At 45.6% G+C, this 26,628-nt stretch overlaps 1 long non-coding RNA gene across 1 annotated transcript; it reads right to left on the bottom strand.

Annotated features, from left to right (window-relative positions):
* Positions 1-24,964: 24,964 nt before the first annotated feature.
* On the bottom strand, positions 24,965-25,975 carry LOC124907998 (uncharacterized). Its single transcript, XR_007088133.1, has 2 exons — positions 25,807-25,975; positions 24,965-25,459 (listed from the first exon to the last, which is right to left on the bottom strand). It is a non-coding gene; the product is annotated as an uncharacterized LOC124907998 (long non-coding RNA).
* Positions 25,976-26,628: the final 653 nt, after the last annotated feature.

Genomic DNA, 26,628 nt, shown 5'->3' with positions numbered 1-26,628 from the left:
CCGTCTGCTCTCCTCCAAACCTGCCTGTGCTCAGTGTGGACTCTGCAAACCTGGAGGCCCAGTGCAGGGGTGGGCTGGGCCTGGAGTTGTCTCTTCTGGTTCCAGCGTCATCCTGAAACTTCTCTAGCTGCTGCCCCAGGTGTCGTGGTGCCCATGTCACCTGTGTCCCACATGGAAATCTCAGGTAAGGATAATTTTGGTCTTTAAATTTTCCTGAATGTCATTCAACTTTATTCCTCCATTTCCCTCTCCAAAATGGCTCTTCACACGCTCCATTTGTTCATTAATAAAATCTATGTCCCATGGGGAAAGCTGTGCTCCCATTTCCAAAATCCAGAATCATAATGACACATTTCTGGATTTCAGAGCAAATGGGAGAAGCCACATAATGACTGGATAAGTCCCCCTTCACTTTAGATGAAGGTCGGACAAGATGAAGAGGAAAATACCAAAATATCTCCTAGTATAGATACTGATCTGGCGACGGAACCAGGAGAACTCACAAAAGCATCTGCTTGCCCACCTGCTCCGCCTGGCTGGGCCACAGAGACTCTCAGGTTTTCTAGTCCCTGCTGTGGCCCAGGTGGACCTGGGGAAGTCAGACCAAGGTGAAACCTGGGCAAGAGACTCATTGGAGTCCTCGCCTGTCACTAAGGAGCCTCAGCCCCATCCCTCTGATACTACCAAGGTCAGGGGACTGAGCTTCCTAAAGCAGTAATGCTGAAAGCCACTGCCCTGGCCCAGCCCCAGGATTCTCTCTCCACACGTGAATTCTGACCAGCACATGTCAATCCTTTCCAGCCACCTCTTCCATTTAGTTCACTGTCAAATCCCAAACCAGTTGGCAGGCAGACAGAGGATTCAGACATACGGACATAATAAATCCGTCTTTCTACTTCAAAAGCTGGCTGGGAGAACTGAACTGGTACTTGGGGCCACAGACTGGCTTCCAAACCCCTTGGCCTTTGTCAGAAGCACAGGACAATGACACCAGAGAGGGTTGGGGTTGGCTGAGCAAACTTGCTTACCCAGGGCTTCCAGAAGGCTGGTGGGGTCCGAGTCCACCATGCTGAGCACAGGGAAGCAGGGACACAGAGGAAGACCCCCTCCCTTCTTTATAGGCATGAGGAGGGAAACGAGAGCACCCCAGGAGCTGAGTGGCCCACGCAGGCTCCCTCCTCCTCTCGGTCTCACCCTGCAGAGAGGTACATGACAGTGGGGTGGAGAGAAAGGCGCAGGCTTCTCCCCTCTGTGGGAAATTGAGGACTAGGAATTGACCTACGGCAGCTGGGTTTACACACTTTTCATACTATATTTCAATATGGCACATACAGGGTTTGAATAGGGCTTTTCCCCCTACATTCCTGTCCTTCCTGGAACCTCTCAGAATGTGGCTTTCTTTGAAAATAGCATCATGGCTTGATGTATTTGGTTCAGATTAGGTCATTCTGGAGTAGGGTGGGCCCTGATCCAATAGGACCGGTGTCCTTGAAAGAGAAGGAGAGATGCCTAGAGGAGCACAGGGCGGACACCATGCCTGGCGGAGGCGGAGGTAGGAGTGCCGCATCTCCTAGTCAAGGAGCTCCGGGGAATGCCTGTAGCTCCAGAAGCCTGGAGAATGGAACCCGTTCTTCCCTGGAACCCCCAGAGGGAGCGTGGCCCTGCCAGCCTCTTGATTGCAGGCTCCTGGGTGCTCCATCTGTGGGACAGTTTGTTGTTTTAAACCATCAGGTTTCTGGTGTTTTGTTACAGCAGCCCTAGGGAATGAAGACACCGCGACAGCTCAGTTGTTTAGGCCCAGCTCACCGGAGTCGAGTGCACGCCCACTCAGGAAGACACTGAGAAAGAAAGAGGAGATGCAGGAGGAGGCCGAGGAGGAGGAAAGATGTGACTTGCCCAACCAGTTACTCCTGAGTGCCCTGCTGGTCTCTAAAAGCAGAACATGCTGCTCTGGGAGACAAAATGGAGAGGCTGCAGATGCTTGTGCATGTAGAGATGTGAACGGTGTGACAGGAGAGTTGCGGCTGTTCTCGGCTGGACACTGCTGACACTTGCTGGCTCGATGAGGTTTGCACGTCGGCTGTCCCCCATGAGCCCCAGACTCCTTGTCTACAGGATGAAGGCAGTAAGAGCTCACAGTGTAAGCTGATTGTGGGAATTAAATGAGATGCCCAGGTAACGTACTTCGCAGTGTTCTGCTCACACAAGCATGCAGGTCATGGAAGATGATTGCGGAGCTACCACTGGGTGTGAAGTGAGATGCTGGGGAAAGAGCAGATATGACACACAGCTTATATCAGAGAAACTTATATATAAGGACATACTATTCGATAAAAGTGGCATTTTGAATCAATAAAGAAGGGAGGAATTGTTCAACCAACTGTTGGGGGAAAATTAGCTGATGATTTGGAATTTTAAAACGATGTATGCCAAACTTTAAACCTGATGTTAAAATATGTTCTAGAACTATTCAAAAGTTAAATATAAAAATCCAAACCAAATAAACTTACTTGTTGATATTGCAATGTAAAAGAGAAAGAAAAGTTCGACTGCATTAAATCTGCATAAAAACAGAAGAAAAATTTATAAATTGAAGAAAATATCTTAGAAATGATTTACACGCAAACAACTAGTAATTACGTGAAAGTCTCATATAAATCAGTTAAATAAACTAAAATACTTGTAGGTGTGTCGGCACCACAGTATCCATGAAGACTCTTGTGGTGATCATGGAAATGGGCCTCTCAGATCTTCAGCCACGGGGACAATCATTGACCAAGGGCCCTCAGTCACCGCATTATTTGGTCACCAGATCTGTCGCCAAGTCTATCACTGGTTTGCAGTGAGGCCACATTGCTGCAGGCTGTTCTCAGGCAGAGGCAGAGGGCGGCAGGGATACTAAGTGTCTCCTAAAATAAAAATGAAGTCTTTAAGAATTAAAGTTCATTTTGCTCAGAAGTCTTCCTGAGGACTGCAGCCGAGGCCCACTTCCCCCGGGGGGATCTTTCAGAGTGATTCTGCCAGCCGCTGCCAAAGCAGCATTTTGGCTCACAGTTGATGTACAGGTGGTGAAGGTCCAGTCCGTGCAAAATCACATCAAGGTTTGGGTGCAAGAGGACACCTGGTCATAGATTCCAGAGGCACAATGACAAAGCCGTCAGACATTACCTTACATGCAGAAAAAGGCAGGACTGGGATCATTCAGCTTTTAAGGAAGAGGGTGACCCGGGCGAGAGACCTGGGGGGGCTGTGTGCCCTATCCTGTTTTGTCTTCAAAGCATCTTTCCAGGGAGCTGCACATCATCCCAGAGTCAGGGGCTTTGTGAAGTGACGCTGGCAAGCAGAAATGATCAAAGGTGGCTTCTTACATTTGCTGCTTTGTCTCACTGGAGGCAGGCCATTCCTGGGGGGTGTGGGACTCCTCTGATTGACAACATTAGCCCCAGGACTTCCTGACAGCCTCGCTGGACTCCACCAGACTGCACTGCAGCTGAGGGTGCTGTTTCTCAAGCCCTCCTCCTTCCCTCCCTCCCTACCTCCTTCACATGGGTCACACCTTCATTACCTTCTGGCAGCCCCCCAGTCTTCCCAGCACCCTCCCAGCATCCTCATGGGGCAGAGCCCTCATGAATTTCTTGCAGGGCTGAACCCAGCTTGGCATCTGTCTCTCAGCAGACACAGACTCACAAATTTTTAACAAACCACTACTGGTTTAACAACATTGAGAAAAAAATATTCAACCCCTATAATATTCAAATATCCCATTCAAGTTGCAATCACTATCATGATGAAAGTTTCACTGGTTTGTTTTTTTAAACTAGACTACCCCTGGGTGGACTCTTTCAAGGAGCTAAACATGCTCCTGTGTTGCTGAGTGAAACACAAAGTTGCTCAGATGTTGTGAGAAAAAATTAGCACTGTGCTAAGAACCTTAAAAATGATCACATTTTTGACTCTGGCATTTCATGTTGAGAAAACTCTACTAAGCCATATAAATACTTATAAATAGGCACTAAAAATAGCCAACATTCTTTTATTGGTTTTGGAAAAAATAAGCAGTCATTTAATCTAATGTTGGCAACAAAGTGGAAAGGGTTCTGATATGATGGGATGTGTGGCAGCTCTGGAGGCTGCTACATGAACCTCCTTTCAAGGAAGACCCTAGCATGGAACACAGAACTTACTCCTCTATCTGAATGTAGGTTTGTGCCCATTAACCACCCTGTTGTCACCCACCCATCGCCCCTGCCTCCGCCCCCAGCCTGGGGGAACCATCAGTCTACTCTCTACCTCCATGAGATTAACTGTTTTAGCTTCCACATATGAAAGAGAATACATTACATGCATGTAGCAAAATAACACACGTATCCCATAAATATGAACAAATATTATGTATCAATTTTTAAAAAGATGCAGTGAGCACTCATTTTTTAAAAAAGAGCCTGCTCAAGAGGTGGTAAGCTGGCAGCTTCCAGCCTTTAGCAACTTCCGGTCAACGCCAGGTTTTTGGGCTGAGGCCGGGCTCACTGTGGGCACTGGGGCCTGGGCCCGTCCACCCGTTGTGGACCCCCTCCTCGCCAGCAGTCTTTGCTCAGGAGGGCCCTGCATCTTCATCAGATCTGCAGTGTCCATGCGGTCAGGAGTCTGCCCCTACCCAGTGCTGCCTCCTCACCCCATCCTTTCGTGGATGTCAGGTTTCCATGACAGCTAAAAGGCTCTTCCTACTCAACCTTGCTTCCTCCCTTTTTTATGTTCCACAGGACATGTCTACTGGATAACCAGTTCGAGAACTCCCCCTTGGCTTGGCCAGATCTCTCTTGGAACTGGGCTGCAGTCTGAGACAATTCCCACCTGCTCCTCTTTCCTTCTCTCTTCTTCACTGGGGGTCAGATCTGCGCTAGTCTAAGGCGCTCCCTCTACCTCTGGCTCCCATTCCTTTATCCCCCAATCAGTCTCAGGCTGCCTGGGCGTCAACCTCTAGCAGACCCAGGCTAACACTCCAAACTTCCAAAGACTGGACCCTGAGGCTATTGCCTCCCCTGCCTGCAAGTCAGAGCTCTTCGGGTCTCAACGTTCTGGTTTTCAAAGGCGTGCTTTGCGGCCGGGGAAACTACAAGAGTTCCATGGAAGTACCAGCTCCAGCTGCCTGCAGAGCCCTGTGAGCCCCTTCCACCCAGGGATCAGTGGGTAAAAGAGGGCTTATCATCTTGGCAGAGGTCATCGGCTCTGGTCTTCAGAAGGGTCAAGACTGCTTTCAACACAGTAGGGTCAGGAGGGATCCACGAGGAACTCAGGTGACGCACTTGTGTGAACTTCTTAGTGTTTTCTTGACACATTGTGATGACGAATGGAGGGACGCAGCAGCCCCAGCCTGAGGAGGGATGCGATCGAGAACTCTTCCTCCTGGGATGGGGGTCTAGGTCACACCACTAGGTAAGCCCCCTAGACCTGCCGAGTGGATGGTGCAGGGTGAGGTGAATTTACAACAGATAGTGGAGGAGGGTGAAAAGGAGTACCACTGGCACCCTCCTTCTGCTCACAAAGAGAAGCCCACTGCCACCCTGCAGGTGCAGCTCCAGCACATGTATGGAGAAGCAGAGGGCCAGGGAGCAAGGGATGGGCTGCAGCGTCCACGAGAAAGCACAGCAGACATCTCCCTTCAGGAGAAAACTTGACATTCAACTGCAAGGGTGCAGTGGGCTCCAGCCAGTAGCACCTCCAGCCCCCTCCACACTCCTTCCAGGCTGCCCCCAGACACTCACTGAGCACAGCCGGGCACTGGAGCCTGGCAGTTTCTACCCAGTGCGGGAACTCCTCCCTGTGTGGTTGGCCGAGGCCTTGTCAGAGCTACATTGCGTCCAATCCACCTCTCCCTCATCGCTCACAGAGGCCAAATCCCAGCAATCTTCTGGAGTCCTAACTCCATCTCAGCGTCTGCCCCTTAGAGGACCCAAATGGCGCATTAAGCACAATAAATGATGGAATGAATAAAGAGAGTGCCTTCAAACACCAAGTGTGAGGATGGCCTATCTGAAAACACCAACTCCAAGAAACGGAGTCAATGTTTCAAAGTAGGAAAGTTAAGGTTTCACTTATACAGGCAGAGACGGAGGAAGTTTTTTTGTTTGTTTGTTTGTTTTTAAGCAGGATTACATTTTTCATACAAAGTTGGTGGATATTAATAGTTGCAGCAATTTGATTGGTTAGGCAGTGTTTCTTTTTGGGACAGGTACACTTAACATTTTGTACAGAGGAAGTACTTAGGCATGGGCTTTCTGTTGTCTGGTCTAAGCAAAGCAGGGCAACAAAGCGGGGAAGTTAACCCATCACAGGACTCATTGATTAAGAAGGCAGGAGGTTTTCATCCCTGGAGTCATTCAGCTCTCTCTAGTCATTGTACAGAACAAGAAAAATAAAAAAGCAAGGGAATCTATAATCCGAAAAACAGACGTTATAACCATCTGTGACTCAGATCACAGTCACATCTCTCTCAAGGCTTAAAGTGTTTGAGGGGTTTCAACAGCTTTTAAATTGTATTTATTTTCACACTTATGAAGCAGGTATTATCTTCCCATTTTACAGACTGGAAAGCTAAGCCTCAGGAAGGTTGAACAATTCACCCAAGGTCACAGAGCTGGAAAGTATAGAGATTTGGATTCAGACGTACCTGACTTCTGATCTAACTTTCTTGAGCACCGTGTTTCCCAAATGTCCACCCACATACCACCTCCACCATCGTGGCCACATCTGCCCACATCTGCCTACTGTGAGTCTTTAGTTCAGGGTCAGACACCTCTTTCTGGAAAGGGCCATATTGTAATTGTTTGACATGGTGGCCCACATGGTCTCTGTAATCTATTTATCTCTTTCTTTTTTACTCTTTTAAAAAGAAAAAAATTTCTTAGCTTATGGGCTATACAGAAACAGGCTTTGGTCAGCTTTGGTCTGAGCCACAGTTTGCCAACCCCTGATTTAGCTTATTTTTTCTATATACAGACTTTGTAAATGAATTTTACATATTTCTTTTCTTTCTTATTTAGCTTTATTCTAAGCAGTAGTATCTGTAAAGTCCCAGGATGGGTGTGCCAGTTATACATGTTTTTAATACACATTTAAACAAATACATGCCAATTCCTTTATTTATTTATTTTTTAATTTATTTTTTTGAGATGGAGTCTCACTCTGTTGCCCAGACTGGAGTGCAATGGCGCGATCTTGGCTCACTGCAACTTCTGCCTCCCGGGTTCAAGCGATTCTCCTGCCTCAGCTTCCTGAGTAGCTGGGATTATAGGCACGTCACCACACCCAGCTAATTTTTGTATTTTAGTAGAGACGGAGTTTCACCATGTTGGTCAGGCTGGTCTCGAACTTTTGACCTCATGATCCACCAGCCTTGGCCTCCCAAAGTGCTGGGATTACAGGCGTGAGCCACCGTGGCTGGCCAATACATGCCAATTCTTATGGAAATATTGGTTCTATATCCCCATGCTTTGGACAGTAGTACATTTGACTGCTCTGCCATCTACCTGATACGAGTGGTCATCCCACAGGCTGGGTAGAGGCTGGGGAAAAAGGCTTTTTTTTTTAAATTCTTTTTATCAGGCAGAGTTTTATGATTGATATATATCTTTGTTGGAAATGTAAACCTTTCAGAGAGGCTGACAGCTATCTGCCTAACTGGCGTGTGATTGTTTGGTACCAGGCAGAGTCAAACTTCTGAATGATGACTGGTGGCTTGACCATCAAAGGGCCTGGCACCACTAACTGGTCACCATTGTTCTAGAGCCAAGGCGATCAAAACACAGCATTGATTCCTTCCTTCAGTCACCGAGCATCCACCAGGGCTCACCACGTCCTAGTCACTTGCTAGGTGCTGGAGATAGGATGATAACAGGTGCAATCGTGGACTTTGGCTGGGGAAGCCAGTGGTCCTTTGGGAGACAAACAGTAATTACTAACCCATAAGTAATGCACAACAGCAATCACTCCCTACTCAGTGGAACAGTCATGGTGTCACATGCAAGCATAAGGAGAGGGTTTGATTTATGGAAGTAGAGGAACTTTCTTTGGGAGGTGATAGCTGTCCTGAGATTTGGCAGGTGAGCAAGATTCACCTGAGGAAAGAGGGAGAAAAGGGGGTCTGGACAGGAGGAGCAGATTATGCAAAGGCCCTGTGGTAAGAGAGCAGTGGGCAGGGGCAGAGAGGGTGCAACAGAATGGTGGGATGGAGCCAGGAAGGCCAATGGGTCAAACCGTGAACGGTCAGAGGCCATGTCTAAGGCACGTGTCTTTAGCCTGCAGGTGGGATGCTGTACAGTGATTCATGCAGATAGCTCCTGGGAGGATAGCTGCATTTCCCAAATATCCCTTCCGTGGCAGGGGGAGACTCTTTTGTGTTAAGCATGAGGGAATGCAGGTGGAGGAGCTGGTGAAACACTGCAATCATCCAGGCAAGATTTGATGGAAGGCTGGAGAGGGCTGCGGCAGTGGTGGTGCATGGAAGTGAACTTGATAGACACTGGGAAGGGGGAAAATTGGTAGCATTAGATGAGAGGTGGACAGATGGTTCCAGGGAGAAAGGAAAGGTCACTGATTACCCCCAGGTGTCTGCTGGGGCATTCATTGAGAGGGAGAACAATTGGAAAAAAATTTAAACACAACTTTAAGCTTTTCTTATGTAGAGAGCCAAACATCAGACATCTCAGCTTTCCTTCTTTGCTTTCCTAGTCTTGCTCCAGCCGTGGCGCTAACTTTGACCTCAAATGAGAACCTCATCCAGTTCCAGATCCCAGAGCTGCCCTTGAAAGCCGTGCTCTTCTAGACCATGTGTGTGTTGCCCAGACAAGGTTTTCATAACCTGCCTGCAGATCTCTGCTGAGGTCCAGAGTGCAGTCTGCTCTCTGATGCTCAACTCTGAACCCAAATACACAGCCACAGAGCTTTTAGCTACCACTTCAGAGACCTGGATTGACATTTACCAAGCTCCTCAACTAACATTTCAATATGAAGAAGGGTAAATTTTGCACATTGTGGATGACTTTATGAAAGAAGGCATGCTAAATGTTGTATCCACAGGTATTAATTAGACGAGCTGCACCTTTAAGAACTGATTTATCTCTTGGCAGAGGTCCTCAATAATCAAACACCAGCAGAGGAATGGTGGGAGCAGACATATGAGTGTTACAATCAGTAGCAACACAGTGCACACACCCACACATGCACACACACATGCACACGCATGCTGTTCTGTATAGTAGCCTATGTGATAATCAGACAGAGCATATCCTATTGTCAAGGATGATTGCCTGAGCCCAGACAATAATGCTTTTGTTCCTGATGACTGGTGTCTGTGTGTGTGGTTCTGTTCCCATGATGAAACAATGGTCCAGAATGATAATAACACAATGCCAGAGTGTTTCTAATATTATCAAATGATCTAGGGTGTCTTTGCTTTGTACACATGAGATGAAAGACAGGAATGTAGTAACAGAACTTTAATTTCTATGTCGAGGGACTCAATGTTGGGTGTCTGTGTCTTACTGGCATCCTGTGTGTCTTACTGGCACCCTATGAAGGTAGGTGCATTGTCTTGTGTGGTTCTCATCCCTCATTGGGCCACTAGAAAAGCATTTTGGCTTCATGGAAAGAGTATGAGCTGTAGGGCCTGTACATTGATCCAAGCTCCACTACCCATGGCCTGGTGGCCTTGGGCAAGATCCTCATGCTCTTTGAGCATGACAGTGTCTCCATCTGTCAAATGGGCTCATGCCACCCATCTTATAGTTTGTTGAATTAGAAATTCAGCTGGGTGCAGAGGCTCTTCCACTTCCAGTGGTCTCATCATGATTGATTGGTTTGGGAATCAGAGACCATCTTCGAAAAGGAAAAGATATTGGAAGATAGCTTGTGTGTGTCTGCACACCTGCACACGGGTATGTGTAATGTCCTCATGAGTGTTGTATTGAAGATGTATTATATTAAAGTGTCAAGAATGGAAAGTTCAGCCAGGCACGGTGGCTCACACCTGTAATCCCAGCACTTTGGGAGGCCAAGGCGGGTGAATCACCTGAGGCCAGAAGTTCAAGACCAGCCTGGCCAACATAGTGAAATCCTGTCTCTACTGAAAATACAAAACTTAGCTGGTTGTGGTGGTGCACGCCTATAATCCCAGCTACTCAGGAGGTGGAGGCAGGAGAATCGCTTGAACCCAGGAGGTGGAGGTTGCAGTGAGCTGAGATCGTGCCACTGTACTCCAGCCTGGGTGACTAAGCAAGACTCCATCTCAAAAAAAAAAAAAAAAAAAAAAAAAAAAAAAAGAATGGAAAGTTTTCCAGAAATGGCTATTTGCCCCTGGAATGAGTGTTTTAGAGTAAGTACAAATATATTGGTATAAAGTGGCTCTGCTGGTTTTAGTAACATTTTAGAGGAGCGGGGAAGGATGAGCTGAGTTGTAGATGATTCTCCCCCACTCTCTTTAGAAGGTGCTTTTTCCCTGAAGGACCATGCTGGACTTGCCTAGCCCGTGGGCAGCAGTCAACTGTCCTGTCCTTGGAGCACATTTCTCCTTCCCTTCCATTTTATGCACATTTCCGCCAACTCCCTGGAAAACTTTGGAAAGACACAAATGGTGCAAGTCAGAAGAAGTCACCAGTCCCACATGCCTGGAAACCACGTTATGTAACCCATGCTTCTCTTTCATCATCGCTTGAAATACAGAAGATTAAAAAGTCAGGAAACAACAGGTGCTGGAGAGGATGTGGAGAAATAGGAACACTTTTACACTGTTGGTGGGACTGTAAACTGGTTCAACCATTGTGGAAGTCAGTGTGGCGATTCCTCAGGGATCTAGAACTAGAAATACCATTTGACCCAGCCATCCCATTACTGGGTATATACCCAAAGGATTATAAATCATGCTGCTATGAAGACACATGCACACGTATGTTTATTGTGGCACTATTCACAATAGCAAGGACTTGGAACCAACCCAAATGTCCACCAATGATAGACTGGATTAAGAAAATGTGGCACATATACACCATGGAATACTACGAAGCCATAAAAAAGGTTGAGTTCATGTCCTTTGTAGGGACATGGATGAAGCTAGAAACCATCATTCTGAGCAAACTATTGCAAGGATAGAAAACCAAACACCGCATGTTCTCACTCATAGGTGGGAATTGAACAATGAGAATGCTTGCACACAGGGTGGGGAACATCACACACCGGGGCCTATCGTGGGGTGGGGGAGGGAGGAGGGATAGCTTTAGGAGATATACCTAATGTAAATGACGAGTTAATGCGTGCAGCACACCAACATGGCATATGTATACATATGTAACAAGCCTGCACGTTGTGCACATGTACCCTAGAACTTAAAGTACAATAAAAAATAAAAAAAAGAAATACAGAAGATGCCCAAATGGTATCTTGAAAGTGAACAAATCTAGAACAAATTGCAACGAAGGAGCAAATCATTAAAATGAACAACTTCCACCTCCATAGACTGGACTTTTGAGGATGAAAGTGCATTGGAGCAGCTTTGAAATGAAAGAACCAGCAGAATGAACACAGCTGTGTCTAATCCACTGGATTAAAGCTAAAAAGAAATCATGTTTATAAAAGAGTCTTGCCCGCATCCCTGCTTGCGTCTCAGCATGCAGTGTCTGTTGGTTGGTGCCTGCTGCCAGGTTCCTCCCACGACCCAGCTCCCAGGGAGGCTGGGAAGGGCGGCGGAATCCCCGCCTGGACAGAGTTGCAATACGTCCTGGCCAGAGCGCCGGAACGGGGTGGGGTTGGAGATGCGCCACCCAGACAGCGGAGGGGCGCCGGGAACCTGCTTATTGTCTATTTTCCATAAGGACGAACCAAGCATGCAAACATTCTCATGGAGCTGACACGAGCCTCAGGGGGATAAGAATTCTTGCTTCGTTTTTTAAACAGCTTTATTGAGATATAAATCACGTGCCTACAATTCATCTGTTTAAAGCATACAATTCAATGGTTTTGATATGTTGCATTATTAATTTCGGAAAATTGTGGTGATATATACATAGAGCCACACATACGCATATGTGTGTGGGAGGCTGTTTCACACAGGGTGGTCAGGAAGGGGCGACATTTGAGCGCAAGAGCAGGAAGGAGGTAATGGGCCTCGCAGTGCTCCCTGAGGGAGAAGGCACGGGGGACTGACGTGGGAGTGAGCTTGGGACAGAGAGTGGGCCCACGTGGCCAAAGCAAGGAAGCCGTCGGGGGGTGAGGTGGGGAGGAGGCAGAGGCTGGGTCTTGAGGGGTCCCCAGGGCCGAGTGGCGGGGTTTGGTTCTATTCTATGTGTGATGGGAAATAGCTGTCGCTGGATTTGTGCAGCAACGTGGTGCCCACGGGGAACCCACTCTAGGGCTGAGCAGAGAAGCGGCTGCAGCCAGCCACGGAGGTTCCTGCATTAAGTGGGCTCAATGAAGAGACTGGGAGAGGAGCAGCTGGGAGGGAGGTCAGACTTTCCAGGAGAGGAGAGGAGAGAAGGAGGAGAAAAAGGACAAAAGGAAAAACGAGTAGAAGTTGGGAAGAGGAGAGATGTCAAATTCTCCAGGAAAATGCGAGAAAAAGGAGAAAAAGGCAAAAGGAAAAATGAGTAGAAACTGGGAGCCACACCTCCACATCAATCAAGGGTGGAGAATTCTTATGATGGCCTCTGACTTTATCCTAATAGGATGAGAGGCTTCTAATCAGAAGAAAATACAGACTGAGCATGCTTCCTCTGAAAATCCAAAATCCAAAATCCAAAACTGTGTGAGCACCAACATAATGCCACAAGAGGAAAATTTCACACCTGACCTCGTGACAGGTCACAATTAAAATGAAATCAAATGCACAAAATGATTAAAATATGCCATAAAATTACCTTCAGGCTATGTGTGTAAGGTGTATGTAAAACATAAGTGAATTTCATGTTTAGACTCAAGTCCCATCCCCAAGATATCGCATTGTGTATATGCAAATATTCCAAAATCCAAAACAATTCAAAATCAGAAACACTCTGGTCTCAAGTATTTCAGATAAGGGACACTCAGCCTGTACAGCATTGGGCTGCACTCTTTATTCAGAGTTGAGACATTCAGCCTGATGCTCTTCTGCTGTCCTTTATAGCTCACTATATAGATCTCAGTCTGTGGAGTGGAGTCTAGGAGAGAACTGTCCCCCACTCCAAACGCACACCTCACCCCCAGCCTCCCCAGGCAGAACTCAAGGCAGGGTTTAGACTCCATTCCCACAATTCTCACAGGTGTGAAGGAGTCAGCATTAGCCTACATTTCCCTGCAGTATGCTCAGAGCTCTCCAGAGACCTGGAGATAAAAACTATCCCAAAAAAGAAGAGTTCTTCATGGGGCATCACATTATAACTGAAGCCACAACCAACCCTGTGCATGCAGGTGACCCTCCCACCACCTCTGGTGAGTCAGTGGCAGACCCCAGAAGCAAAGCCTGTGACACCCAGGTGGCGTGGCAACGTGGCTCCCACTGTCTCCTGTGCTTCTCTTCTTAAGAAAACACTGGTGGTCTAATTTGAGATCTGTGTTACTCGCTTCTTGCACCACTGTAAATACCTGAGACTGGGTAATTCATAAAGAAAAGAGGTTATATTGGCTCACAGCACTGCAGGCTGTACGGAAAGCATAGCGGCTTCTGTTTCTGCTTCTTGGGAGGCCTCAGGAAACTAACAGTCATAGTGGAAGGTGAAGGGTAAACAGGAACATCTCACAAGGCTGGAGCCGAAGGAGGAGATGGGGGCAGGGGAATTGCCACACATTTTTAAAAGACCAGCTCTTACATGGACTCACTCACCATCATGAGAACAGCACCAAGGGAGAAATCTGCCTCCATGATCCAATCCCCTTTCACCAGGTCCCACCTCCAACTTTGGAGTTTACAATTTGACGTGAGATTTGCGCAGGGACACAGATCCAAACCATATCAAGGTCTTCCTCCTGTTCACTCCATGAACCGTGTCATTCTCATGTCATGTTCCCTAGGGCTGCTGGTCCAGGTGGTCACCTGTACCACCTTGGACACCTGGGCACTTCATGTCAAGCCCCGGACTCTGTTTCACTTTGTCACCTGTCAATGGACACAGGTCTCTGCATGGCAGGTTTAGCCCGGATGCTCCCCAGTACAGAAATACTAGATTCTGGAGGACACCCCTGCACAGAGACCCGAGTCACTGGGACCAGCTGCGTAGATTGCAAAGCTTATGGCAAAATGGAAACACTTTTTAGGATCGGTTCTGAAATGTATTAAGGATTTCAAGATGGTGATGCCTGGCTTTGAACCAAGTGTGAGGCCTACATGCAGAGCCTTGCGTGTCTGCACAGGTTACATTTCCATGGCGCCGGCCCTGACAGCCATGCAGCACAGTCGGAAAGCAACTCTACTCCACTAGGGCAGACCAAGATCAAGGCAGATTGAGTTCCCATCAAGGAATGGAAAAGACTGGGTCAGCCCCAGCTGTGGATACCTAGCCTTGGGAGAAGCACTTGAGTTAAATGGAGATCCTAACCTCTCATTATATTTGCTTATGGTGTTAATATTTAACTCTATATCATGTGCACACGTCCTTTTTTGAAAGAAAGAGAAAAAAAGCATGAACTCATTGCTTGGGATGTTGGCATCTTATTTTTGTCTTCATTTCCAGGTCTAATTATCTACAGTGACTTAGATGGCCAATTAGTTGATGAAATGAATTTGCATCCAGAGCTCAGCGCTCCATCTCTGTAGTCTCGGCTGCCAGGAATGGTAAGAAGAGAAATTTGTTGTAAAATATTCATGCTAATCCCTAACTTGGGATTTTTTAAGGCTAAATTAGGACTTTTTACTCTGAAAATGCTCAGCCATACCTTGCAGCTTCTCAGTGACAATTTTGACCATCACTGCCTCCCCAAGGCAAAGTCATTCTCCCAAAGGAGGTTTAGACTTTGGACAGAAGGAGTTGGAGGCTGCAAGCCATCCAAAATCTCCAAGCCTACTTCTCCCAAGTGGCCAGCTCCCAGTGCTGTGGTCCCTGCATCCTGGCAGCTACCAGTTGGGCATCCCCACACCTTCCTGGTGACAGGTGCCTGCTGACAGGCCAGCACTTTCACAGCACCATTCACCCAGATGTATCCACCTGGACAGACATAAGGTTGAAATGGGCCTGGCAGAGGTAGCAGGCATGCCTCAGAGCAGGAAGCTTGCACCCAAAGGTACAGCGAGCATCCGGCTTTATCCCTGCTGGCTGTGAAATCCTGGCTGGAGGCAGCTTGCTCTAATCAAGCCCCACACAATCCTTTGAGCATCGTGAGTGCTCAGTAGGGATGTGTGTGGGCCAGGATGACTAGCTCAGTTAAATTAAAATATTGGACCAGGTCAAGGCCCATGTGTGATGCTCTGACCCCACAGAACACAGCAAGCTGGGAACCCTTGGACAGGGCTGTCGAACCTTACATATATCTTTCTTCAGAATAAAACACCGTTGTCTTCTCATGGATAAGCTCCTTAAGTATGGATTAATTTTTAGTTATGAATTAATTTTGGCTTTTAAAGGGTTTTTTAAAAGGGTTACTTGAAATATGAATGAAATATTTTTCAAAACCCTTTGTGAGCTTGCTTAGCAATGACTGTCATAGCGGTGATGATAGGAAGCCTCTTCTTATTAAAGATGCACATAAAAGGATGCCATATTTTAATGATCCATGGGAACGTTTGCCATGCAGCTGCATTGCCTTCTGTCCTCTGTGCTTTGATTCACAGGTTCGGGCAAGAGCATCATGGAAACCACGTCCTCCATCCTGATTCACGCACAGTGATGATCTTATGTGTCACTCCTGGCCAGGGCGGTGACAGCGAGGATGCTGCTCAGACATGGTGCCCTTCCCTAGACGCCAGCAGCCTTCAGGGAGGTGCCTGTCTTCCTGAGATGGTTGGCTCCAAAGGGCTGCAGGGAAGAACCAGGATGGCCGTGGCACAGGGGTAAGAGGGAGAGGAAGAGGAAGAGGAAGAGGGGAGGAGAAGGAGGTGGAGAATAAGAGGAGGTGAAGTTAGAGATTCACTTCAGTTTTTGGCTCTCCCTGTCCTGAACATCAGTCAGACCTAGAGCCAAGGGGTAGGGAACCCACTGACATCTGAGTCTATTCACCCAGATGATGGTAAGAGTGTTGCTGCCACTCAGGGAGCCTTACACAGATGTGTATGAAATCCACATTGATGTATAGCAGGAGGGAATGAACCTGGCTCTGTGTTCAGGAGAACCAGAGCACATGGCCAAGGCAGAGTATTTTCAAGGCCCCATATAGGGTAGGGGAGAACCGTGCTTCTGATACCCCATTCCTTTCTCTGGTATTTGCTTAAAATAAACACATGGAGGAGCAGATCAGGGAGTTCTGAAGGGGACAGAGAAGAATGGGTAGAAAGTAGCACGTGGTTTTCTGCATATGGCTAGCCAGCTTTCCCAACACCACTTATTAAATAGGGAATCATTTCCCCATTGCTTTTTTTGGTCAGGTTTGTCAAAGATCAGATGGTTGTAGATGTGTGACATTATTAACGAGGCCTCAGTTCTGTTCCATTGGTCTATATATCTGTTTTGGTACAAGTACCATGCTGTTTTTGTTACTGTAGCCTTGTAGTATAGTTTGAAGTCAGGTAGGGTGATGCCTCCAGCTTTGTTCTTTTTGCTTAAGATTGTCTTGGCTCTATGGGCTGTTTTTGGTTTCAAATGAAATTTAAAGTAGTTTTTTCTAAATATGTGAAGGAAATCAATGGTAGCTTGATGGGAATAGCATTGAATCTACAAATTGCTTTGGGCAGTACAGCCATTTTTATGATATTGATTCTTCCTGTCCATGAGTATGGAATGCTTTTCCATTTGTTTGTGTCCTCTTTTATTTCATTGAGCAGTGGTTTGTAGTTCTCCTTGAAGAGGTCCTTCACATCCCTTGTAAGTTGGATTCCTAGGTATTTTATTCTCCTTGTAGCAATTGTGAATGGCAGTTCACTCATGATTTGGCTCTCTGTTTGTCTATTATTGGTGTGCAGAAATGCTTGTGATTTTTGCACATTGATTTTGTATCCTGAGACTTTGCTGAAGTTGCTTATCAGCTTAAGGAGATTTTGGGCTGAGACGATGGGATTTTCTAAATATACAATCATGTCATCTGCAAACAGAGACAATTTGACTTCCTCTCTTCCTATTTGAATACGCTTTATTTCCTTCTCTTGCCTGATTGCCCTGGCCAGAACGTCAAATACTATGTTGAATAGGAGTGGTGAGACAGGGCATCCTTGTCTTGTGCCGGTTTTCAAAGGGAATGCTTCCAGCTTTTGTCCATTCAGTATGATATTGGCTGTGGGTTTGTCATAAATAGCTCTTATTATTTTGAGATATGCTCCATCAATACCTAGTTTATTGAGAGTTTTTAGCATGAAGAGGTGTTGAATTTTGTCGAAGGCCTTTTCTGCACCTATTGAGATAATCATGTGGTTTTTTTTTTTTTTTTTTTTTTTTTTTTTTTGAGACGGAGTCTCGCTCTGTCGCCCAGGCCGGACTGCGGACTGCAGTGGCACAATCTCGGCTCACTGCAAGCTCCGCTTCCCGGGTTCACGCCATTCTCCTGCCTCAGCCTCCCGAGTAGCTGGGACTACAGGCACCCGCCACCGCGCCCGGCTAATTTTTTGTATTTTTAGTAGAGACGGGGTTTCACCTTGTTAGCCAGGATGGTCTCGATCTCCTGACCTCATGATCCACCCGCCTTGGCCTCCCAAAGTGCTGGGATTACAGGCGTGAGCCACCGCGCCCAGCCAATCATGTGGTTTTTGTCAGTGGTTCTGTTTACGTGATGGATTACATTTATTGATTTGCATATGTTGAACCAGCCTTGCATCCCAGGGATGAAGACAATTTGATTGTGGTGGATTAGCTTTTTGATGTGCTGCTGGATTCGGTTTGCCAGTATTTTATTGAGAATTTTCACATCGATGTTCATCAGGGATATTGGCCTGCAATTTTCTTTTTTTGTTGTGTCCCTGCCGACAACATTGAAGACCTAACTTAGTAGTATGCACCTGTAACAATAGCTGAGTATTGGCCAATCACAGCGGCCATGCTTCAACCACTCATAGACTGCTGAGTGTTCAAACTGTGTTCAAATAAGACAAATGCTGAGCAATAATCAGTCCCACTATTTCTGTACTTCACTTCCGATTTCTGTATGTCACATCCCTTTTTTTGTCTATAAATTTGTTCTGACCACAAGGCACCTCTGGAGTCACTTTGAATCGTCTGTGATTCTGGAGGTTGCCTGGTTCAAAAATCATTTCATTCCTTTTCTTTTTTTCTCAATTAAACTCCATTAAATTTTAAGAAAAAAAAAAGTAGCACCTGGGAGACCTTCTGCTCCGCCCCCCATTAGCCGTGTGATTTCAGCACATTCTTCAACTTCTTTGGGCCTGAGTCCCTAATTTGTCAAATTTGAGGCAAGACTAGCTGACCCTTAAGGTTTCTTTTAGCATTTCTATGAGAGGATCCTGTGATCCCATGAACCAATATTTTAAGATGTGAGATCCAAAGAAACTCATGACAGAGAAGAATTTTAAGAGTGACCGGTTACCAAGGGAGTTTAAGGAATTTTATTCCCTGAAGGCTCCTTAAGAATGAACAGACAACTTTCCTCCTAGTCTCATTTAAGTGCAGTTTTGCCAGAGGGGAGAAGGCTGACCCTGCGGCTTCTGGATTCTGTGAACAGCTTCATCATTCTGTAATTCTGCAACCCCATCTTTTGTGGAGGGTTGATGACCACAGCCGGGAATCTCAGCTGTGTCTCTTCCTTTGCAAATCTGAATTAGGCCACAGATGCTGGCAATAAACACATCAAGAGAACTGGTCCCAGTGCTCCAAAGCCACAAGTTTCACTCCAAGGACATTATTCAGGACATGGAAATTCTCCTCCCTAGTGTGCAATTTCAGGATGAGTGACTGGCCCTTAATAATGAAGCTGATCCTACAACTTATGTTATACGTTCATATTAAGGATGCACATTTTGACTGTGTTTCTGTGCTGCTTGTCAGTTACTACGTAAATTATTTAACACCTTCTTAAAAACTGACTATGGATCAATATTAACAAATTGAAGTCACTTTAATTATAATAGGTGATACGGTTTGAATATTCATCCCCTCCAAATCTCATGTTGAAAAATGTGATCCCCAGTGTTGGAGGTGGAGCCTGATGGGAGAGGTTGTGTTCATGATGGTGAATCCCTCATGAATGGCTTGGCGTCCTTCCCATAGGAAAGAGTTCTTGCTCTATTCATTTTTGCAAAGGCTGGTTGTAGGATAAAACCTGGCACTTCCCTCCCCTCTCTCTTCCTTCTTCTCTCCCCCCATGACACCTGCTCCTCCTTCACCTTGCATCATGAGTGGAAGCTTCCTGAATCCCTCACCAGAAGCAGACGCTGATGCCATGCTTCTTGTATATCCTGCTGAACTGTGAGCCAAATAAGTCTCTTTTTTTTTTCAATAAATCACCCGCCTTGTGTATTCCTTTATAGCAACACGAACAGACTAAGGCAACAGCTACATTTACTACTTTGAAAACTACTGCAAAAAAAAAAATCTTAGTTCAAAGGTCTTAACCTTTAAGTTTTACGAGGTTGGATGTTGGCATATACATCTTCTGTTAAACAAACAACCAACCCAAATACATATTTGAGCATTCAGTGTTTTACTTGGTGAGCTTTTATTTTTCCTCTTAATGTAGAAAATGTTTGCCAATTAGAAGGGTGAACCAGCATAGAGAAGCTCAGGGGGAAAATGAAGAAAATATACATCTGAATTCCTTGCCCTCATGAGTCACTGTTCAGCCATCACATGTTGAGACTACATCTCAGACCCTCTCTGTGGAGAGACAGGGAGGAAGGCATGGTCCTGGGGCTCCAGTGACTGCATTTGGGAGGCAAGGGGGTAGTAAGTGCCACTAGCAAAGCAACTCAGGACCACAATTTCACTGTAAGGATAGAAAAGTCTTCACATTTACCATTTACCATTTACCAGCTGGATTGCCTTATGAATAATGATAAATCTGTCATGTTCTCAAGGAATCTCAATCCTCATTCCCTCTTCCTAACTACCTTGTCTGAGAGCATTATCTTGTTCATTGAAAAGCCAGACCTCGTTGAGAGCCCAGTGTTCCTCCCTGCAAGGTCCGCTAAAGCACCTCACAGCACTTTTCAAAACTCCACTGTAGAGTACTCATCCGAGGAAACACCAGTTCAGCATGCACAGTGGAGGATACCCGTGCATAGGAGCACATGCTCGTCATGCTAATATCATCCTTAGCCACTAGGCTTTGGGTGGCTGGGGACAGCTGGAAATGGGTTATTGTAATCACACTGGGTCACAGCGTGACTTTAGAAACTAATAATACTTTAGTTTATTAGAAGTAAAGTAGTTTCTAAAGTAATTAGTTTCTAATTACTTTAGAAACTAATACTATTTTATTTCTACAAATGATGAGGCAGGTGCCAAAGTCTCCAAGTCACTAAAGGAATCAACCTGTGTTTAAACCCAGGAGAACCAGAAGGAGCAGAACATGACTCAAAATGGAGCAATAGTTTTCCAGAGGACAACAAGTATCCCCATCTGTGCAGAATTACTCAAAGCACAGGGTCAGAGTCATGCCCAGCTCAGCTCACTCTATGACAAATGAAAATGTTTTTGATATAAACATGTGATACCGGTGGGGTGCGGTGGCTCACTCCTGTAATCCCAGCATTTGGGGAGGCCAAGATGGGTGGATCACCTGAGGTCAGGAGTTCGAGACCAGCCTGGCCAACATGGTGAAACCCTGTCTCTACTAAAAATACAAAAATTAGCCAGGCGTGGTGGCATGTGCCTGTAATCCCAGCTACTAGGGAGGCTGAGGCAGGAGAATAGCTTGAACCTGGGAGGCGGAGGTTGCAGTGAGCTGAGATCATGACATTGCACTCCTGCCTGGGCGACAGAGTGAGACACCATCTCAAAAAACAAAACAAAATATTTGATACGGTGCAGATGTGGAGCAACAGGCACTTGTTCATTGCTGGTGGAATGCAAAATGGAGCAGCCACCTTGGAAGACACCTGGCTCTTGCTTACGAAAGTAAACAGAGTCTTACCACGTGATCCAGCAGTGATGCTCCTTGGTATTTACCCAAATGAGCTGAAAACTTGTGTCCACACAAACATCTGCACACAGATGTTTACAGCAGCTTTATTCATAATGGACGAAACTTGGAAGCAACCAGGATGTCCTTCAGTAGGTGAGCAGATAAACAAACTGGCACATCCAGGCAATGGACTATTATCCAGTGATAAAGAGAAATGAGCTATCAATCCGTGAAAAGCCATGGCAGAAGCTTAAACACTTGTTACTACGTGAAAGAAGTCAGCCTGAAAGGCCACAGACTGCATGTTTCCAACTCTATGCCATTCTGGAAAAGGCAAAACTGTGGAGATAGTAAAAGGATCAGTGGTTACCAGGGGCTTGGCTGGGGGGAGAAAGTGAGAGATTAATAGGTGCAGCACAGAGGATTTTTAGGGCAGTGAAACCACTCTGTAGGATACTATGATGGTGGATACCTGTCTTTATGCATTTATCAAAACCCACAGAATGTCCACACACATGATGAAGCTGAATGTAATCTGTGGACTTTAGTTAATAATAATGTGTCACCACTGTCTCATCAGTAGTAACAAATGTAGCACCAATGCAAAATGTTAGCAGTAGAGGAAACCATGGGGAATGGTGCTGAGGGATAGACAGGAACTCTGTACTTTTTGCTAAATGTTTCTATAAACCTAAAACTGCTCCAACAATAGTCTATCAATTTAAACATATTTTTAAAAGCTTATCTAAGAAGTCATTGTGGGAAGAAGTAAGATCATTGGTGGATCTCTTTATACTTGTTCTGTTTTTTTTTTTTTTCTATTTTATGATTTAATTTCTTTTGGAGGGTGGGGAGGAGAGTACCATGCTTGTATCTCTGTGCTAAGGGCCTCTAAAGGTTAACAAACACATCTGTCTCCAGCACAGGAGAAACGAAGTGGTCTTTCTTCACACATAATAACATTGCAGTGTTTCCCGAGTCCTCTAGCAAGGGCTTTTCACCAGTTTGACAGGTTATTACCAGAATATAACAATGGCAGGATTCATTTCTCCCTCTGAGTAATGAAAGCCCCAGATCCCAGCAATCCCAAAGAGCTGGGGTAGAGGAGGTTAAGGCAAAGGTCATCCGGGGATTTGTCCTGATCCATGAGGGCACCATTCCTAACCCCAGGCTGCAGGCTCCCAGCAGGGGTTAGAGGAGGGATCGGCATAGAACTGGCTTTGTTATATATTTGGGCTGAGGGTGCCAGGGCCTCTCAACCATTCCATGTGTCCCACCTCTCTTTGGAGAACATATTTTTCCACATGAAAAATAGGTTAACGTGAACCTTGACAGCAGTCCCCAGAGAGCTAGTCCCCCGACTTCAGGAAGGTGAGAAACCCACAGTGGAGGAGGAGCTTCCCCTGGAGAAGGGGAGAGAAGCCATGTCACTTGGGAGCAAAGACACCTTTCTCCTGCATCTCCAGCTTCCTGAGTTTCTAGTATCTGCCTTTGTCCCTCGATTCTTTTTTTATTGTGGCAAGATACACCTAACATAAAATCCATCATTTAACCGTCTTAAGCGCACAGTTCAGTGCTATTAAATACTCTCTTCTTGCTGTGCAGGCATCACCATCGTCCAGCCACAGAATTCTTTTGATTTAGCAAAACTGAAACTTTGTACCTATTGAATACGAACTCCCCATTTCCTTCTGCCTCCATTCCCTGGCCATTACCTTTCTATTTTCTGTCTCTAGGAATGTGATTACTCCAGGGACCCGGTAGAAGTGGAGTCATACGGTATTTGTCCTTTTGTGACTGGCTCATTTCACTTAACATAATGCCCGCAAGGTTCATCCATGCTGTAGCATGTGACAAGATGCCCTTCCTTTTTCAAGGCTGAATAATATTCCTTTTTGTTTATAGACCACATTTTGTTTATTCATTCACCTGTTGAGGGATAACTGTGTTGCTTCTGCCTTTTGGCTATCGTAGAGAATGCTGCCACGAACACAGGTGTACAACTATCTCTTTGAGACCCTGATTTCAATGCTTTTGAATATATATACCCAGAAATAGAATTGCTAAATCGTATGGTAATTCTATTTTTTATTTGTTGAGGAACTGCCACACTGTTTCCCATAGCGACTGTACCATTTTACATTCCCAACAATAATGCACAAAGGTTTGAGCATCCTCACCCACACTGGTTGTTTTCTGTTTTTTGATAGTAACTGTCCTAATGGGTGTGAGGTGTCATCTCCATGCAGCTTTGCTTTGCATTTGCCTAATGATTAATGATGTTGAGCATCTTGGCAAATGTTTGTTGGCCATTTGTCCGTCTTTTTTGGACCTTCCTTGCGTTTAGAATGAAGAGCTGTCATTATCCTAAGCAAACGAACGCAGGCACAGAAAACCAAATACTGCAGGTTCTCACTTATAAGTGGAAGCTAAACATAGAGTATACATGGACACAAAGAAGGAACAACAGGCATAGGGGCATACTTGTGGGTGGAGGGTGGGAGGAGGGCAAGGATCAAAAAACTACCTATCGGGTTCTATGCTTATTACCCAGGTGACAAAATACCTTGTACACCAGCCCCCACCCCCCTACCTCGCCAACACTCAATTTACTTATATAGCAAACCTGCACGAGTACACCTGAACCTAAAATACAAGTTAAAAAATAAAACAAAATAAAAGGAAGAGCTGTACAGGGTCCCGGGGGATCAGCTGCCCAGCGCCTTCTCCAGCCTCGATGCTGCGGTGTGTTGGGCTCAGTCTGGGCTGCTATAGGCCCTCGAGGTCTTCGTCTTCCTCGTTTGAGCATGGTCCTTCAGTTTCACGAACCTCCACTTACCCGTCTTACCCCTGCCTCCAGGGACAACGTAAGGACAGGTGCTGGGTTCCGCCCACTGCACCTTCTCAGAGCCTCAAACCACTCCTGGCCCACAATACACAGCCAACAAGTGAATCTGCTTGGATTTGACCCAAGTCTTTAGCACTGGGAGTCACAGTGCCATGCTGAAAGTCAATTCTCTATTCTCTCTTCTGGGATACCAATAAGCCCAGAAACTCCATTTTCTCTTCTTCATTCCTGTGATTATATTTTACAGTACTTTCCAGCTTTGCTTTCTCTCTCTTCCTCTCTCTGTATATTCTGTTCAGCCCAGGATATTCTGAGCTCATGGTGCTAGAAGGGACACCTCTTTAGCTCCTCTGAAGAGTCTGGGACCATCTTGTACTTTTCATCCACACTGCGTCTTCTCTCACACCCCTCTGCGCTACACTGAGAGCCTCTCTTCCCATTCTCACAGACCAGTGATTGATAAAAACCATGGGAGGACCTAGCCAAATTCCTCTCATTAATGACAACTAATCAGGTGGTAGCTAGCAGCCCAGATAACCTGAGAAAGGTGCCCTTTCTCTCTTCTTCACAGCACACTCTTATCTTTCTATATTTTCCTCTTGGAGAAGGAATGAACACTGACCCACCACTCCCCAACTGCCAAAAAGATCCAGGTGCATTTGTATTGAATATTCAACTCCAGGCTTACTGACACAGTCTAGTTAAATCCAAACCCTACATTATTGTTCTTCTTATGTTTTCAGAGATTACATTTAGAGACACTTGGTAGGCACAGGAAATATCACCCACACTTTGAAGTACATTTTGTATAGACAAGCTATAAGTTATCTTCACTTTTTAAAAAATCTATGGAACCAATACCTGCCTTGCAGGGTCATTGTAAGAATTAACTTAAATCACAAATTTAATGTCCCCAGCATATTAATAGAACCGCAGCAAATATTTTTATGCAAGTCGAATTTTATTTGGTAACTCTGAAAATGACAATAGCTAACATTGAATAGCCCATTACAGTTTAATGGGGTCTTTCTCAAGCTCTACCTTATTTAATCTCCTTAGCAATCATATGAGGCAGTTACTGTGCCACTAGAAAGAATGCTAATTGCAAATCATCTTGCGGTTAGAGATATTTCCATGTCAGACAGTGTCTGCCAGTAGAATTTTAAGCTTTTCAAGCTGATGTTCTCTTTTTACCCAGAGCAGAGATCTTGGGTGATGTCGCCTGAATGAGCCTTTCCGATATACTTACTGCCAAAGGCATCCAACTCTCCATATCTTTGTCTTCCCATTATCCATCTGTGTGCTAGCAAAGCTGCGTTTTGTCTGAGGTTTTGTATGTTTGCCTCTTTCCTCCTTCCTCTTCTTCCTCCCTCCTCTTTGGCAACAGCAGTTTCTCCTTGGCACTGTTCTTCTCCCTACTTACATCGGCTCCTGGAGCTATGGAAAAGAAATTAGTTGACTAACCTACCACACAAATTTAGGTAGCTTATCTTTTCTTGAGAGAGAACAGAAAAATTTATTTGATCACATGACATTAATTCACAGTTCAGATTCCTGGAGTAGGGGTCTTTAGGGACACACCAGAGAGATAAATCTTTGCAGCAAGAGTTTATAATAAATACAAATGCTACTAGAAAATTGCAAGATATTTTGACCAAGCTCCTACTCTGAAAGAAAAGACTAGAAGTAAACAAACTTTTCAATCCTGGAGCAAGTGTGGGACAAGCAGGAGTCAAGGTGACAAGGCCTTGCCAAGGCTTCTGCAGGAAGAAATCTGTAGGTACCTGGAAACCCTGCAGAACTCTTCTGACAATTTCCTTCTTTATAGGACCTTCACATTGAAATGTGGATGTATAGTCCTTGTTTTGCCAGAACAGACAAGAAAATAGTGCAAGGCTGGTCAGAGTTGACTTCACTGCCTTGTGGACAAAGGAAATCATGCAACACGGACTCAACTCAAAAAGCCTCGGAGAATTCTAGAATCCTTTGACAGAATGGAAACCTCAACTAGCAAAGTGAGCTAATGGAAGCACTGATTCTATTGCTAACAGATAATTTTAAACCAGTGATTTTCAGCTCATTGGCCTCAAAATCAAATACTGACACCAAATAACAGAGACGATTTCACAATTCTGATTTCTTATTCAAGAACAATAGCAGCAGTCTTCTCGTTGAAAGCAGGATAGGTGCCTAGTACTGCCTCCTTAAGAGATGGAGGTGGGGAGGGGCATAGGTTTTTGTTTGGCTTTGCTTCGTTATCATTGTGTGTGTGTATGTTTGTGTGTGTGTGTGTGTGTGTGTGTGTGTGTGTGTGTGTGTGTTTTAAAAGAAGCTTATTTCTAACCAAGCAAGCACACAGGTGGACTCTAGAAAGCCCACAACATAGTCTTTCACTTTATGCCCTACCTACTTTTACCCAACTTATACACCACCCACAGTTGGGTGGGGTTTTCCTAACACATCTTGCCCCTATTACCCAATGGGCAATAGGTCTTTGATGGGCAATAGATCTGAATCTTTGATGCAGGCTTTCTGGAGAGCCATCTTAGACTAAAGAAGTAAAGATAGTCTTTTCATTGGACCATCCCTCCTCCTGTCATATCTTC

Source organism: Homo sapiens, chromosome 2, assembly GCF_000001405.40.
Source record: "Homo sapiens chromosome 2, GRCh38.p14 Primary Assembly".
Taxonomy (NCBI): Eukaryota; Metazoa; Chordata; class Mammalia; order Primates; family Hominidae; genus Homo; species Homo sapiens.
This window is presented reverse-complemented; position numbering and strand designations above follow the sequence as displayed.